The sequence below is a fragment of the Homo sapiens genome, chromosome 10, assembly GCF_000001405.40.
Source record: "Homo sapiens chromosome 10, GRCh38.p14 Primary Assembly".
Lineage (NCBI taxonomy): Eukaryota > Metazoa > Chordata > Mammalia > Primates > Hominidae > Homo > Homo sapiens.
In genome coordinates, this window is record NC_000010.11 from 121,832,592 (window position 1) to 121,850,594 (window position 18,003).

At 37.3% G+C, this 18,003-nt stretch overlaps 1 protein-coding gene across 35 annotated transcripts in view; it reads right to left on the bottom strand.

Moving 5' to 3' along the window:
• Positions 1-18,003, bottom strand: part of ATE1 (arginyltransferase 1) — a 188,040-nt gene that overhangs the window by 92,168 nt on the left and 77,869 nt on the right. For all 35 annotated transcript variants that reach the window (NR_110006.2, NM_001439381.1, NM_001439374.1 and 32 more), the window contains 2 exons: positions 8,491-8,672; positions 4,127-4,226 (listed from right to left, as the gene is read on the bottom strand). Coding sequence is in view for 34 of the 35 variants with exons in the window: in NM_001439381.1 (NP_001426310.1) it covers positions 4,127-4,226; positions 8,491-8,672 (282 nt within the window). In the remaining variant the exon portion in view is untranslated. The remainder of the gene's footprint in view (positions 1-4,126; positions 4,227-8,490; positions 8,673-18,003) is intronic.

Here is an 18,003-nt window from a genome sequence, read left to right on the forward strand (position 1 = left end):
GGGTTTCCGCTTTTGCATCTTCCTCATTTTCTCTTGCCACCGCCACGTAAGAAGTGTCTTTTACCTCCCCACTATGATTCTGAGGCCTCTCCAGCCATGTGGAGTTGTAAGTCCAATTAAACCTCTTTTTCTTCCCAGTCTCAGTTATATCTTTATCAGCAGCGTGAAAACGGACTAATACTCTGCCATTGGCCTCTAAGTAAAAGACAAGTGTCCGCAATTCTGGGAACTTTCAGAGAGAGGTAGTATTGGTATTCAGTAATATATGCCTTTCCTTTTCCCCAGCATCTAAACTAATCTAAGAAGTCTGGTTAACAACAAGAGCAGGCATTTAGAAATTTGGATGTCATTTATCAGTATACAAACAGAGAGAGCCTTGACAGGTCCCAACAAAAGCTCAGGTAATGATTTTATGAATGCTACCCAACTAGGTAGAGTCTATACTGAAATGCAGATAACAACCTGTCTAATTTCTACATTACTCCCATTTACAGTTGCAAAAACTGAGACCAGATGAAGTCAAGCAACTTCTCCAAACTGTTACACATTCCTGTGTCACCACCTCCCTTTGCTATCAGAGTATTTATCAATACTCAAAGATAATCAGTCACAATACCTATCACATTCTGTTAGAACTGCGTATCTGTTACTAAGTTATAACCTATTTGTAAAGGGGAAGCCATCCCATTCATGCTCAACAAATCTTTGTTAAAAAAAAAAAAAGAAGGCATTTCTCACTATCCTACATACTCGTCAGCTCTCTGCATTAGTATTTTCATTCATTAGTTCAACAAATGTATATTAAGCATTAAATACCTACTATGTAGCAGGCACATTGTTTGCCACCTGGGACACAAGAAGTTAAATGTCAATTAGATTCTCATGGAATGTATGCACAGGAGATAGACTAGTTCTGGGAAGAAATGTAAACTGCTATGGGGTAGGTGGGTGAATGATGAAATCTAGTCTTAAGAGTCCAGTAGAGATTACTGGAGTTGAAAAATGATAAGATGGGGAATTTGCAAGCTTGGGGGAGGGGCAAAGGGAAGGGGAAAAAAAACGACAGTACAGTACAGATAAAGGTCTCAAGTGGGGGTAAAAATGGGAATTCTCTAGTTGGTCAGTGTTCCATGTTCTAGGCCACAGATGACAGGGCAAAGATAGGAGCTTCTTCAATAGGAGTAATTCTGAATTTAATAAACAGAAAACAGCAAACTTTAAAATGGGGAATAATTATCTTTCTAGTTCCTCATGAGGCTCTCAGCTGTGAAAAAATAATCTGGTACAGTGATTCTCTAGTCTGACTTCATATCAGAATCTTCTGAGCATTAAACAAATCTGATGCCCATGGTTGATCCCAGAGTTCAATTACTTAAAATCTCTGAAGATATGGCCTAAGCACAGGTCTTATGAAAATGTTCTCCAGGTCATAAACTCCAGTCAAAACTGACGACTGCAGCAACTAAAGGCTAGGCAGTGCTACACTAGCTGTTTCCTCAGTGTCTTTCTGAAATGACCCTAAAACTTCCCATTGGCTGACTTTGTGACATTCAAATCTTAGCCTAAACATTTGTCCTCAGAGAGGACCCTCTGACTACACAATCTAAAGTAGCCACACTCAGTTAATTAATGTCTACCACACAGCACTCATCCCTATCTGACATCTGTCTTCTTGATTACTGTTAGTGAACCACTAGAATGGAAGTTCCAAGAAATCAGGGATCTTGCCTGTATTGTTCATGGCTGTTATTTCCAGTAGGATCTGAATAAACATTTCCTGGATGAAGGAAGAAAGTAAACCAGAAGGCAAGCAGGCATGGGGGTACCTCTCATATAAATGGAATTAAACAAAAAATAAATATTTTGAAGCTATAATTCTTATGGATTTGGATTGGATATAATTAAGGTAGACTGAAAAGCACATAGGGTATTTTTAAAATCTTTAACTTAAAACTATACACAGGCTGGCTTGAACTTCCAAGCAGGGCTCTACCTAGGAAGGAGACAAAAGAATAAAAAATATTTAGTCTGGACTAGAGTCAACAAAGGTGTCAGCAAAACATCTTCATGAAGAGGAAAAGGATGATGAAACTATATTCAACATTTCCACGAATGGAAAAGAAGAAAAAAGAAAAAAAACAAAGACCCAGGTTAAAATATAGGGCAAATTAGAATTTAGCTTAGGCATAATGAAAAACTTTCAAGAGAAATGCTGTGAGACTGGAACGGCCATCACAGATGAGACATAAAAGTGAAATCTGTGCAAGTCCTTAAGTCTAGTATGAAAATACTTCATTTGAATGGGTCGTGTACTACATAAAGGAAGATTAATATAAGGACAGCCAGAGTTTTCTTTGAGTCTTATAAATACATTAAAGTATCTTGAGTACTAGAGTTTTCTGCTCTGAACTAATTTAGATCTAGTACCAGATGAAAATGAGCCAGAAGGATAAAACACTAGTAAAAACGTAAGCAAATCATTATTTTTAGGCAAAACGGAAATATGCTCATACTTTTCCTTCTGTACAGAACATATGTTAAGGCCCATCAAGTGAATTAGTAATTCAGGCATAAAGGAAGTTTTTGAAGATAACCAAATTCAGGGGTTATCTCCCTACAATGTACACTGAAATATGAGCTCAAAAGAAAATCTCCAAATGCCAGGACACCTTGATCAGCTTACCTGGACTGTCAATGTAAAACCAGCAAGGCACTGCTTTTTCACTGGTCTCTCAAAGCCAGTGTTACTTTCAGAATCCATAATTTCTGAAATCGAACCATCTCCCCAGTCATTCAGTGCTTAACATCAAAGATTTGGAAATATAATCATCCCCAAATGTAATTAATCACCAAGTCCTGTGAATTATTCCTTTGTAAGAAAGAAAAAAGGCTGGGGGAGGGGGGTGGGGATTTATTGATTTAAAGAGATTTAAGAGACACATCGCAAATATAATGTATGAACCTTACTGAGTCCTAAGTCAAACAAATTGACTGTAAAAAAGATTATGAGACAATAAAGGAAACAGGAAATAGGAACACTGATCAGATGATATTTGGAAACGCTGCTAATACTTTCTAGGTATATGATGAAATTGTGATTACATTTTCAAAATGCCCTTATCTTTTAGAAATACACACTACAATATTGGCAGATTAAGTGATACTTTTGATTTGCTCCAAAATAATTCAAGAGAGGGTGGAGGTGGCAATGAAGGAATAGATGAAATAAATGCATGAAAATTACTAAAGCTGGGTAATGGGTACACAGGGGTTCAATTACACTTTTTTCTTTAATGTGGCATGTCTGAAAACCCCCGTTAAGTCATATTTCTATGTGTGGACATATGTATATTTTCTGATTTACTCTGCTCTGCTCTACAACTGTTGATGACTCCCAGGTGCCTAATTTAGGTACCTTAGCCTGGCCTTCAGGGTCCTGCACAGTCCTTCAGTTACCCTTTCCTCTACAAATACATCATCAGCACTTGCCCTTCCAAATCCTTTCTTTTACTGCTTCTTCTCCTAGAAACGTCCTTCTCCATCCTACCTACTTTCTTCTTGAGCTACTCCTTCCTTTCCTCTTCCACATCTTCTATAGTAAAAAACCCATGTCCTCCTAGGCCACTGACCAGACCACTGTATACCCTGGTTTGATGTAAAATGCCCCTAATCTTCCCCTAGCTCACAAGTTTTAAGTAGAAGATCCATGCAACTTCAGAGCTGAAAGCCTCACTCTAAGTAAAGCAGACGTGTTTGTTATTGCTATCGCGGTGGGTGGAAGGCGGTGGGTCTGCTCCTCTGCATTGGTCTTCACTCTGCAGTTTTTATAGTGGGCTACGCATACTCAGGAAACATCAAAGAGTTTCATTAACGAGAGTCATAAAACTTTTTTTTAAAGGGAAATTCTGAAATATACTTAAATCTCACAATAATGCAATGGATTACAAGAGCAGAAGAGGCTGTGGTTCTCATTACAGAGAGCTTAATTTCTGAGGCAGCAAAGAGATTTCCTATTAACCCATTCGTCCTTCCTTCAAAGCTTCAAACCCAGTGCCCTGAGATAAAAATTTTATGAGAGATTCATTTTTCTATAATAAAAATACACATATGTGAAAATCAACTTTACCTTATATTTCATCTTGGGACATGAATGAATGTAGAAACCCATATAATAATAGCTGAGTTGAGAAGTTTTCTCATGAAGCTGCCTAGTAAAAGCAATTTCTCTGCGAAAAGAAAAAGAAGAAAGCTGAAGGCAGTTAATTCTGGTTCTAATGTACAAATATCTGTGTAATTTGATGGTAAACATTTGATAAAATCTGGTATTAAGCTATCAAAAAATTACAAATATTGAAAGAAAAACTACTTTTAAAACACTATACAATTTTTACTAAAGAAATAATAAAACCCTCTACATAATTTTAAGCAAATGCATCTAAGTTCAGGTTTTACACTTTATTGGACAAAGTAGCTGATCTAAACTTCAAGCAGCATAAAATTAAAGAGATCTACAGTGTCCTGTTATTATTCATCATGCCCTATGGTTCTCAAAGAATCTGGGCTTAACAGGTTAAAAACAGTACAGCACATTTTAGAAAACTCAAAAGCCAATAAATTACAGGACGAATAACTATTATTATGACCATTTACATGCAAAGACTTTCAGCTGCATATGACATCTAATTCATTCCTTTATCTAGGCACAACTTTAATATTTATTTCCCCTAAAACTAGACAGCAGGAAATACCATGTTATCTCACCACATTTTCTGTATTTGTTGGAATAAGCCAGGTAACTCAAACGTAAGAAGTTGTCAGTCTCTCCACTATAACGCCTATGCATGAATTTTTTTTCATTTGCATCCTGATAAATCTTGGCACAGAATTTCATTCTACTTGCCCAGCTAAATGACTAGTTTGAAAGTGCTTAGTAAAACTTCAGTATATTTCTAAAGTATGAGGAAAGTAGTTTTGTTTTTATGTTTGTTTCTTGAAGGTATTCTTTTCTTTATTAGTAGCAATTGATGCTTGAAATTCTAAAGAAATGTATTTGTAATGCAATATTCTGTGCATTTTTCTACTTCAAATTTAAATCCTTAAAGAATTATTACCGTAAGAATTCATTTTTAAATTAAAATTATTTCTAAATCCAACCAGACTAAACAATATTAGCCTATAACAGAATAAATCCTATTTCCAGAATTAATCCACTCTCAAAGTTCAAACTGAGGAAAGAATGCACTGACACAAGCAAGCGTAAGACCACCAATTCCGAGAAGGCCCACCCAGCCAGGGTACCAATCCACTTGGTCCTGCCCACGTCAGTTCATTTCATCACCTCTCTCCGGATTTGTTCTGGCCCCAAACCTTGGAGTCACCCTTAATTCTTTTCTTCTCATCCCAATGTCCAATCCATCAGCAGGTCTTTTGGGCTTTCTCTCTAAAATATGTCTTGAATCTGACCACTTCTTACCACCTCCACCTCAGATATTCTGGGTCAAGCAGCATTATGGTGCCCTTGGATGACTGCAGCAGCTTCCCAGCAGCCTCCTGTTTCCACTCTTACCCCTCCATAATCTCCACAGAACAGGCCAAGTAATCTTTTACAATATTAATCAGATCTCCCAATCCCCCACCCCAGCAGTGGGTTGGCACCACATATAAATAAAACCCAACCTCCCCACCCTCCTACAAGTGCTATTCCACCTGCGTCCTTCTCACCAACTCCACCTGCCTCCTTCTCACCAGCTCACTCCACCTGCCTCCTTCTCACCAACTCCACCTGCCTCTGTGCCCCTTGCATAAGGCTCTCTACGTCCTTCCCTACACCCGAGCCCAAAAGGCATTTTTGTTTTTCCTGGCCACCTCGAGGCACTTAGATTTGCTAACCTTCACTTGAACTTCTTCCTACCCTCAGATTTTTACATGACTGATTCCTTTTCTTCTTCCTTTGCCCCTGAAATGTCACCTGTTCTCTACGAGGAAAGACCAATCTATATAAAACAGGCTTCATGCCCACCACCTCTAATTTTATTTGTGTCACAGTGCTAGGGAGTATCTGAAATTAAGTTGTCTGTTTTATTATTTATGGTCTGCTTGGACAAACCAGAAACCTGTCTTATTCATGTCTATGAGTGTAATTACCTTTTTAAAATGTATCTTTCTAAAAATATGCAAACAAATGCCATGCTCATGATCCCCAATTCAAACAATTCTTATATCTACAGGCTATGGATAAGCAGAGGCTGATTACAAAAATGAATTAAAAAAATAAAAAAATAAAAATCTACAGGCTACATTATATAAATCTAAAAACATAAAACTATATTGATTGTTGGATTGCTTAAGAAACTTAAGAAATTGAGGGTAAAATATTTCACCAAAATACATTAAAATCAATAACAGAATTAGCAACTGGTAACCTACTTTCTCCAATTTTGCTTCAAGAGGTCAATCCCCTGGCTGCCTTTCCTTTTCTATAAACTCCGCAACTCATCTTCTCAAGAGCACCAAAAGGAAGTGACAAGACCGCAGAGCAGCCGCAACCATCCCACCCTCAACTGGCAAACCTTTCATGACCTCAGGCTCCTCTCCTGCTCCCTCCCGGCTCTCCAGCTCTAGTATTTGCAGGGATATACAAGGTGATCAATAGAACTCTTGCTAATTTTGCTGGGAATTAATTATTTACCATATCAATATCTAAACTATCACTCAGTTTATTGAGCCATGAAATATTTCAGACACAGGCCAGAGCTTATTATGTAGAAATAAATTTCACCCTTAAAAATCCATCTGAGAAGCCTAGAAAAATCTATAACACATTGTGAAGTGATAATACAAAAATAAAACCAAACAAAACAAAAAACCAGCAATTATTTGAAAGTATTGACTGATTTAGGTACAAAGAAAATATATCTTTTCTGAAATAAAACTTCTGAAGTTATGTAATAATGGCAAAATCTAAAGTTATAAAACATGAATACTTTAAATTATCAATTTCAATTTCAGTGAGAGCACCAACAGCCATAAATATTTTTAAACTACTTTATACAAAAATGTGATTAAATACATAAGAATAAAAAGACTGTTATGGAGATCTATTGTAAATATTACCTAATTGTGGATTTGTTAAAAATTGGCATTAAGAAAAAAGTCAAGTTGAAAATGCTAAGACAAAGAACTTTATATTGTGGGCCACTGAAACACACACAAAAAAATCACTTATGGACCAGATTGTTAAAAACATTAAATTGCTGATTTAATGAAAAATTTCAACTCTTTTATAATTCATAAAAAAGCACATACACAAAAATAATCTGGCAGTACATTTTACTGTGACGTGAAAACGTGACCATCAGACATGAAGACTGAGAGATGAAAAGAGAAAAGTATGACACAATAGTAAACAGTGAGAAAAAGAGAGACTCAAGCTCCCAGATAAACAAAAGAAAAATAGTTCCCAACCCTCCTTCCCCTCCTCCACCACATATACACATAGACAAACAGAAATAAATAGAGAAAACTGGAGGAAGACTCCAATCTTCTCACCATTAAAAATGTTTTGTGCTGCATACATATGTTTGCAGCCATGGACACAAAAGGGAAATTATCTTTTGATGAGGGTCATAAATTCAACCAGTCGGCCAGGAATTCCCCAGGTCTGTTCTGTATACATGTATATTTCTTCCAGTAGCCTCATATTACTTTGATTCATTTACACCGCATTAACTTAACGTTTAATTAATAGTAAAAAATATAAAGCTGAATGCAGTAGTACAAGCCTGTAATTACAGGTACCTGAAAGGCTGAGGAAGGAGGATCACTTGAGCCCAGGAGTTCGAGACCAACCTGGGCAACACAGCAAGACCCCATCTCATTTGAAAAGGAAAAAAGAAAGTAGAAGATAATGATGACAAGAATATAAGTCATATAACGTTTAAGGAATATAAGTAGTTCTGAAGGGGGCCTTAAATAAATGTATAAACAACAAAAGCTACCCACAAATACAATGACTTCTTAACTAGATGGATACCTTAAAAAGCTAGAGAATTACCATCAGACACTGGCATCAGTTCTAAAGATAGTACCTTATAAATACAATATAAAAGTACTAGAGATTATAGATTATAGATACTAGTTATACATAATATTTACTTATATATTACATAACTATATACTTATATAATATGTATATTTCCTATAAACTAGTTAAATGATGTTTATTTTAAAATTCAATGTGACTTTAAATATATTCTTAAATGAAAATTACAAATTATATATAAGTATATATTATATAGGAGTATTTAACTCATATAGAATACCTATTACCTATTATATAGTAGTATGTATTCTATGTAAGAGACTAGCAACAAATCATTATAATACACTGTCAATTAGGACTTCTACTGTTACATAATTAAATATAATCAAATGAGTAATTATTTGAAGTTCTATATAACCCACTACAATAACGGCAAAAAGCAATCTTACCGTAGTGCAGAGTAGACGCCCAAAGACAAAAACGAATAATCAGGATCGTAGTACAAATACACAGATGATACACAGTTTGGGAGGATGTCAATCACCCCCACAGCAATGATCTTTCCGTCAAGCCAGTACTGCTGGTGAAAGGAGCCATAGCCACAATCTGGCCCATTAGGGGGAGTCTCTGCCTAAGAAAAAGCAGAGGCACAAACAGCCATTTTTTTAATATTAAAATAATCTTATAATTAATATATACTTTCATTTTCCTCAGGTTAATAAGTCCTTAACTTTCCTCTTTGTTTCCATCATCATCCCTAGTCACACCCTATATTAAGCTGCAAAACTTTTTCATCATAGAAATACTGACTAAATACAAAATTCAAAAAGAGAAATCAATTTATGTTTTCTTCAATTTACTTGTTTTAATACTTGACAGTAGGAAATACAGCATTTTACAGGATAAGAAAATCACTATTAAACTATGTCCTTCCATTTCTATACTACTCAGGCATAAAAAGGAACAAAATAATGGCATTCGCAGCAACCTGGATAGAGTTGAGGACCATTATTCTAAGTGAAGTCACCCAGGAATGGAACACCAAACACTGTATCTTCTCACTTATAAGAGGGAGCTAAGCTATGAGGACACAAAAACATAAGAATGACACAATGGACTTTGGGGACTTAGACGGAAGGGCAAGAGTGGGTAAGGGATAAAAGACTACACATTGGGTACAGTGTACACTGCTTGGGTGACGGCTGCACCAAAATCTCAGAAATCACCACTAAAGGACTTACCCAAACACCACCTGTTCCCCAGAAACCTACTGAAATAAAATAAATAAAATAAAAAAATAAAAACTATGTTCTTCTATTTCACACAAAGGTTAGGAAAGAAATGCATGAGAAAAATATGAGGAACATAAAAGAAAAGGGTGAGGTGAGATACTGCCAGTTAAGCCTGTTCTGTGAGTGCCTCAGCTCTGAGAAGGTACACAATCCCATTGTATCTTCTAGGTGAGAGTTCTTGTGTAAGTACAAAGGACTATGATACTTCTCCTTATTAGTCAAAGGAAAACAAAGTTATTCTTCATTATTATCTTAATTTAACTATAACTTCACAGGAAAAATCTAGAGATTTCAGAATATAACCATCTTCCTGTAAATATAGCTAGTTAAATGACATTTCTCATTTTAAAATTCAACATTTTAAATATAACTGATCTTAAATGAAAACCATATAAAGAACAGTATCAAGGAGCATAAAACAGCCTTTCCTGGAGACTGAGTGAATGTTAGAGATTACTAATTCAAGTGAACAAATATAATACTACTTGTACATCATTTTCACACAGCTAAAATCAGAGAATTATATGAATAAAAGCTAGAAGAGAATAAAAAAAAATGAGAACAGGTTGAATAACACCAAAACCAAGCAAAAAAATCAAGAAAATAAATCTACAAATCAATCTCCCATGAACACAGATGCAAAAATCCTCAACAAAATATTAGCAAATCAAATCCAACAATATATAAAAAGAATTATACCATGAACAAAAGAGAAATTTATTCCAGGTGTGCAAGGCTGACTTCACATTAGAAAAGCAGCTTTTTAAAAGGCAATTAATGAACAATCAATGTAATTCACCACATCAATAGGTCAAAAGAAGAAGTATCATATGATCATATCAATTGATGCAGGAAACATTACTGGCAAGACCCAACACCTATTCATGACTAATCACTCTTAACAAACTGGGAACAGAGGAAAGTTTTCTCAATTAGCTAAATAATATATATGCAAAAACCCACAGCTCACAGCATACTCACTAGTAAGAAAGAACAAGGTAAGGATATCCTCTCTCATCACTCCTAGTCAACATCATATTAGAAAGCTTAGCTTGTGCAATAAGAAAAGGAAATAAAAGGTGTATAGACTGGAAAGGAGGAAAAGCCTGTCTTTCTTTATAGATAACATGACTGAGGTAGGTTAAAACAAACAAACAAAAATCAGTAACAACAAAAAATTGAAATAAGCAATTACAGCAAGGTCCCAGAATACAAGGGTAATATACAAAAGTCAGGTGCTTTTCTATATACCAACAATGACTGGAATTTGGAATACCATTTGCAATACAACAAAAAATGAAATGTTTAGTTATAAATCAAACAAAATATACACAGAAAACTACAAAACTCCGACAAAAGGAATCAAAGATCTAAAAAACCAGAAAAATATTATGTGTGCATGGATTAGAAGACAATATTGTCATGATCTCAGTTTTTCCTAAGTTGATATATACATTTAATGTAATCACAATCAAAATCTCAGCAAGCTATTTTGCAGCTATCAAAAAACTGATTCTAAAGTTTATGTAGAGACAAAAGTCTCAGACTAGCGAACCCAATACTGTGGAAGAAAAAAGTTGGAAAAAACTGTTGACACTCCCAATGTCAACACTTGCTATAAACCTGTAATAATCAAGATGGAGTGATATTGGTGAAAGAACAGACATAGGTCAAGGTCAATGAGATAAAACAGACACACACAAATATAGTCAAATGACCTTTGACAAAGCAGCAAAGGCAATGCAATAGAGAAAGAATACTCTTTACAATAAATGGTGCTGTAACAACCAGATATCCATACGCAAAAAAAAAAAGGAATCCAGACACACACCTCACACCTTTCACAAAAATTAACTCAAAATGGATCATAAACCTAAATATAAAATGAGAAATTAGAAAACTTCCAGATGATAATATAAAAGAAAATCTAGGTGAACTTAGGTTTGTCAATGAGTTTTTAGATAAAACACCAAAAGCACAATTCATGAAACAAAAAAACTGCTAAGTTGTACTTTATTAAAACTAAAAACTTCTGCTCTGTGAAAAACATTGTTAAAATAAAAACTCAAGTCACAGACTGGGAGAAAATCTTGTAAAAGACATATCTGATAAAGAATTGGTATCCAAAATATACAAAGACTTTCAAAATTCAACAACAAGAACACAAACTACCCAATTAAAAAGTAGGCAAAATATTGGGTGTCATGGCTTATGCCTCTAACCCCAGTGCTTTGGGAGGCCGACGTGGGAGGATCCTCTGAGCCCAGGAGTTCAAGGCTGCAGTGAGCTAAGATCGTGCCACTGCACTTCAGCCTATGCAAGACCCTGTCTTTATTTTTAAAAATAAGGGAGAAGGGGCAAATGATGTGAACAGACACCTCACCCCAAGATGTACAAATGGCAAACAAACATATGAAAAGATGCTCAATATCACTTACCATTAGGGAACTGCAAATTAAAACAATGAGATAATACCACAAAACTACTAGAATGGCTGAAATCCAAAAACTGAATAAATACCAAATGCTGGTAAGGATGCAGAGTAATAGGAACTCTCATTCAGATGGTGGGAATGTAAAATGGTATAGATGATTTAGGAGCTGCTCATAAAATTAAAGATCTCAACATAAAAAAGAGCAATCACATTCCTAGGGATTCATCCAATTGATTTGAAAACTTATGTCACACAAAAACCTAAAACCCTATAAGTGAATGTTTATAACAGTTTTATTGATAACCACACAAAACTGGAAGCAACCAAGATGTCCTTCAATAGGCAAATGGATAAACTATGGTACATCCATACAATGAAAGATTACTCAGCAATAAATAGAATAACTATCAAGACACACACACGAGAAACTTTACATATTGCTAAGTGAAAGATGCCGATCTGAAAAGGCTATATCCTGCACGATTCCAATTATAGGCATGTCTCATTTAATTGCACTTTGTTTTATTTTGCTTCACAGATAATGAGTTTAAAAAAAAAAAAAGAAGGTTTGTGGCAACCCCACTAGAAAGTCTATTGGGGCAATTTTTCTAAGCATGTGCTCACGTCATTAGCATTTTTTAGCAATAAAGCATTTTTTATTTAAGGTATGTAAGTTGTTTTTTCAGATATAATGTTACTGCACACTTAAGAGACTACAGTGTAAACACAACCTTTATATGCTCTGGGAAACCAAAAATTTTGTGCAAGTGACTTTATCATGATATTTACTTTATTGCAATGGTCTGGAACCAAATCTACACTATCTCCAAGGTATGCCTGAAGACTCTGTAAAAGGCAAAACTACAGTGACAGTAAAAAGATTAGTGTTGGCAGGAGTTTGTGGGCTATTAGGGGAATGATGAATAGATGAAGCACAGGGACTTTTAGGTGGTGAAACTATTCTATATGATATTGCAGCAATAACAGATCAGTAAAAACCCACAGAACATTACAACACAAAAGAATGAACTGTAATGCATACAAATTTTTAAAAAATCATTTAGGAGTTTGCAGCATCCCAGGAAGAAACACAAGCTGTGACAAGTGAATCTAACTATATTACAAATGTATGAAACTACCTTACTGAAACTGCTGAGGGAGGGGAAAGCTGCTGACCTAAGCAACTCTGGAAATGAAAGCGGTTTCTAAGAATGAAGGTAACAGGAACTCTGCACCTAAGCACCGTATCCTACTTGATAAAGTTGTTTCCCACAGAGTTACTGGTTAACAATTCTGATACTTCTACACACGAATACTGGAGGTGACCAATTCAGTAAATGGATGGCAGACAGTAAGAATCAGGTTTCTTACAGTTACAGTGGGAATTTACAGATAAGCAAGGGAAAAAAGGTAGAAAGATTCATGTGCTAATGGATTAGAGTTGGAAACACTAATAAGAACTCATGTTTAGCTTAGTATAGATGCACAGTTACACAAAGAAATATTTATAAATGTGCATAGATTATAGATATGTGCATATATATGCATTAGCATACACACATATTTCTTTGTTCTGTCAGCTGAGAGGGTCTAGAAGAAACACCACCCCAGGAGCAATGAGCATTCCTAGCACCCAGATCTTGGTGTCTAACACTATTCTGCAATAAAAGAAACCAGGGCCCCCAAGGAGAAATAGCTGATTCCAGAACTCAGGCAGGAAATATACAAGATCAGCCTGAAGTACCAGAAAGTAAAGTAGCACTATTCAAAAAAAAAAAAAAACCCAAAACCAAAATACCCAACATTGAGGGGGTATACCAATGGAGCACAGAAGTCTATTGAAAGAGCAACCAATGCACAAAGCCAGAACAATCTGAGCAACAAAATAAAACAGTACTGACTTTATAATCCCAAGTATGAGATAAATATTCATTAGTCCACACTGATATATATGATTGAATAAATTAATAAATGAGGCAGAAGACACAAATCTCCCATGCAGAAGAATTCCAGACAGTTTATGTAGCTATTCTGCCCTAAAGGTAGGGGAGCATAACTCCCTACTACTTAAGTGCAGGCTGCACACAACTCCCTTCCAAAGAGTATTGTATGAAAGGAGGAAAATGGATTAATTGTGGAGATTATCAAGGTTAACAACCACCACAAGAGAGGATTTACTAAGGTGCTAGCAGTATCAGCAATTTCTCAAACTTCCATTGGTGGTGTTAAAATGCTGTTTGGGGCTGGTCTGAGGGCAGTGGTGTTTACGACTAACTGATAACAACCAGTACAGATTTCTTTGTTCCTTCTCCATTCCCGCTGCTTCATTTGACTAGCCTGCCTAAATAAATAAATAAATAAATAAATAAATAAATAAATAAATAAAATGTTATCTGGGCAATAAATACATCTTTAAAGTATTTCCATGAATGATAAGTTATGTCAAAAACCAGTTTTAGTATTCACTGTCATATACAGCATGGCTCTTTAAAAAAAGTCTTTATTTCCATAGAAACAGATACAATACAAAGAGTAAAGCAGGTGAGCAAAAAGAAGCACTAACCAAAAGAAAACTGGAAGAAATGTTAACCTCTTATAACTACAACAGTGAATGGACACCAATATTCTGTCTAACATGCTATTGAACTGGAAGCCTAACCACCTACCTCAGAAATCAGAAGGCTCAACTATGTAACAAGAAATAAACAAGTTTCTACATATTAGTGAATTTTATGAAAACCATCTTTTAAAAATGTAAGCCTCAAGGCTGATAGGAATGAGACTACCTGTCTTTAAAAATAATCATGCGGCTGGGCACGGTGTCTCACGCATGTAATCCCAGCACTTTGAGAGGCCGAGGTGGGTGGATCACAAGGTCAGGAGTTCAAGACCAGCCTGGCCAACATAGTGAAACCCTGTCGCTACTAAAAATATAAAAAATTAGCTGGGCATGGTGGTGGGTACCTGTAATCCCAGTTACTCAGGAGGCTGATGCAGGAGAATCGCTTGAACCCGGGAGGCGGAGGTTGCAGTGAGCTGAGATCGCGCCACTGCACTCCAGCCTGGGTAACAGAGCGAGACTCTGTCTCAAAAATAGTAATAATAATAATAATAGTGAAAGGCCAGGCGCGGTAGCTCATGCCTGTAATTGCAGCACTTTGGAGGCCAAGGTGGGCAGATCACGAGCTCAGGAGATCAAGATCATCCTGGTCAACACAGTGAAACCCTGTCTGTACTAAAAATACAAAAATTAGCCTAGCGTGGTGGCATGTGCCTGTAATCCCAGCTACTCAGGAGGCTGAGGGAGGACAGTTGCTTGAACCAGGGAGTCAGAGGTTGCAGTAAGCTGAGATCACGCCACTGCACTCCAGCCTGGGGACAGAGCGAGACTCTGTCTCAAAAAAAAAAAAAAAAAAAAAAAATCGTGAACAGGCCAGGCGTGGTGGCTCACACCTGTAATCCCAGCACTTTGGGAGGACGAGGCGGGCAGATCATGAGCTCAGGAGATCGAGACCATCCTGGCTAACACGGTGAAACCCCGTCTCTACTAAAACTACAAAAAATTAGCCAGGTGTGGTGGCACGTGCCTGTAATCCCAGCTACTCGGGAGGCTGAGGCAAAAGAATCGCTTGAACCTGGGAGGCGGAGGTTGCAGTGAGCTGAGATCACATCACTGAACCCTGGCCTGGGCGACAGAGCAAGACTCCATCTAAAAAATAATAATAATAATCGTGAATGAAAGCAGCCACTGCGGTGACATGGAAACTGAGAAAAGCTGTCAGTTTGTGATATTTAAGGTGGAAAGCCTGTCAAATGTCAGAAAACCTACAAGTCAAAAGCTAATTAGGCAGCTCTGAAATAAGTCTAAATTCTTCCATAACTTCAATGTAGTACATCATTCTAGGACTCATTAAATCTAATGTGCGTTCATTCATTCATTCATTCATTCATTCATTCATTAAAAAACTTATTTATCGGCTGGGTGTGGTGGCTCATGCGTGTAATCCCAGTACTTTGGGAGGCAGAGGCAGGCCGATCATTTGAGGCAAGGAGTTCGAGACCAGCCTAGCCAACATGGCAAAACCCCGTCTCTACTAAAAATACAAAAAAATAGCCAGGTGTGGTGGTGGGGGCCTGTAATCCCAGCTATTCAGGAGGCTGATGCAGGAAAATCGCTTGAACCCGGAATGCAGAGGCTGCAGTGGGCCAAGATCACACCATTGCACTCCAGCCTGGGCAACAAGAGTGAAACTCAAAAAAAAAAAAAAAGGGCCAGGTGCGGTGGCTCATGCCTGTAATCCCAGCACTTTGGGAGTCCAAGGCGGGCGGATCACCTGAGGTCAGGAGTTCGAGACCAGCCTGGCCAACTTGGTGAAACCCTGTCTCTACTAAAAATGAAAAAATTAGCTGGGCATGGTGATGGGCGCCTGTAATCCCAGCTACTTGGGAGGCTGAGGTAGAAGAACTGCTTAAACCCAGGAGACGGTGGTCGCAGTGAACCAGGATCACGCCACTGCACTCCAGCCTGGGTGACAGAGCAAGACTCCCTCTAAAAAAAAAAGTATTTATTAAGAACGTAAGTATGCTCATGCCTGTAATCCCAGCACTTTGGGAGGCCGAAGCGGGCAGATCACCTGAGGTCAGGAGTTGAAGACCAGCCTGGCCAACGTGGTGAAACTCCATCTCTACTAAAAATACAAAAATTAGCCAGGCATGGTGGCACACACCTGTAATCCCAGCTACTCAGGAGGCTGAGGCACGAGAATTGCTTGATCCCAGGAGGTGGAGATTACAGTGAGCCACGATCACCCCATTGCACTCCAGCCTGGGTGACAGGATCAAAACTCCATCTCAAAAAAAAAAAAAAGAATATAAGTATAATCTCAATAAGCACATTATTAAATAAACAATGCATTCTGTTAACCCTAAATATAAATCAGTCTTACTTGTTGTACCAGCTTGAAATACTTGTTCAAACTACAATTACCTTCTCAGTTTCTGATTTTCATCATGTTTCTCATCCCTGGACCTCCCATCTGAAAACCTGCTTCAGTTACTTCATAGGTTTGTTCTCCTCTGAGTCCAGTCATAACCAGTTTGTCCTACCATAGACATTACTCCCATCTCTCAATTCCTGTGGAAGCTGGGGTCTTCCCCAAATGCAGAGCACTTCCTGTAAGATATGGGCTGCCTCATAATTACTTAGGAAACAATAAGCTATATACCTATCTACTCTGCCTCCCATCACTTCACAGATGATCCAAGAAAAGCAGGTCAGAGGCCATTTTCCTAAAAGATAACTGGTCGACTCAGCACTCTTGGTTAATAATGATCTGCTCTTCTCAATTTGGCTAGTAAGTCAATCAGTACAATTTTTTTCAACAGGTACGTGGCAGCTGTGGAGAATGAGTTGGAGGTGAGCCTGAGATATTGATTCTCTTTGTGTTCCTTGCAGCTGGAGCAGCCAGAACCCCCAGATCACTCACGCCTAGCTAAGAAATTCAGGAAAAAAAAAAAAATTCAGTGCCTGCCCTCCAATACCATAAACTGATTTAACAAACATGTCTGATGTTTGTTTATGAACACATCTGGTCATCCTGCAGCTAGGAGTTTGCCTTTACTGAAGAATCAATACAAAGATTTATCTATAAGAGTGGTTTGCCCTTACTGAAGAATCAATACAAAGATTTATCTATAAGAGTGGTCACGTAGTATTGTTGTTATAGAGAAAAACTAGAAACTAACTCACTATCAAATAATGAAGTGGTTAATTACCTCAACCTATCCACACAGTTGCATTGAGTATTCCATGCAGCAATTAACAACATAAGCATTTCGTTATATGTCCTAACACAGAGAAGCTCGAAAACACCAAGAATGAACCTGTTTTTTAAAAAGAATCAACACTAAACAATACATACATACAAATTATTTAGCCCACTGGAGGGGTATCCTCCAACTCTCTATACTCTCCTCTACCACCCCACCCCAACTAGGTCCAAAAGAGCTATGTCTTACAACAGTCCCTTAACTTAGCTTTCCAGGAGGCTCAGTCATCCATTCCTAGAGAAGCCTCCTTAACTCACTTACCATTCTCTATTTACTGCCTTGAGAATTCTACTTCAATATGTGGAATTGTATTTCCTTAAACCTTAGTCAAAAAGGTAATCATGTCTTGGTATCATGAAATAATTTTGAACTTGAGGACCCTCTGAAAGGGCCTCAGGGACCCCTGG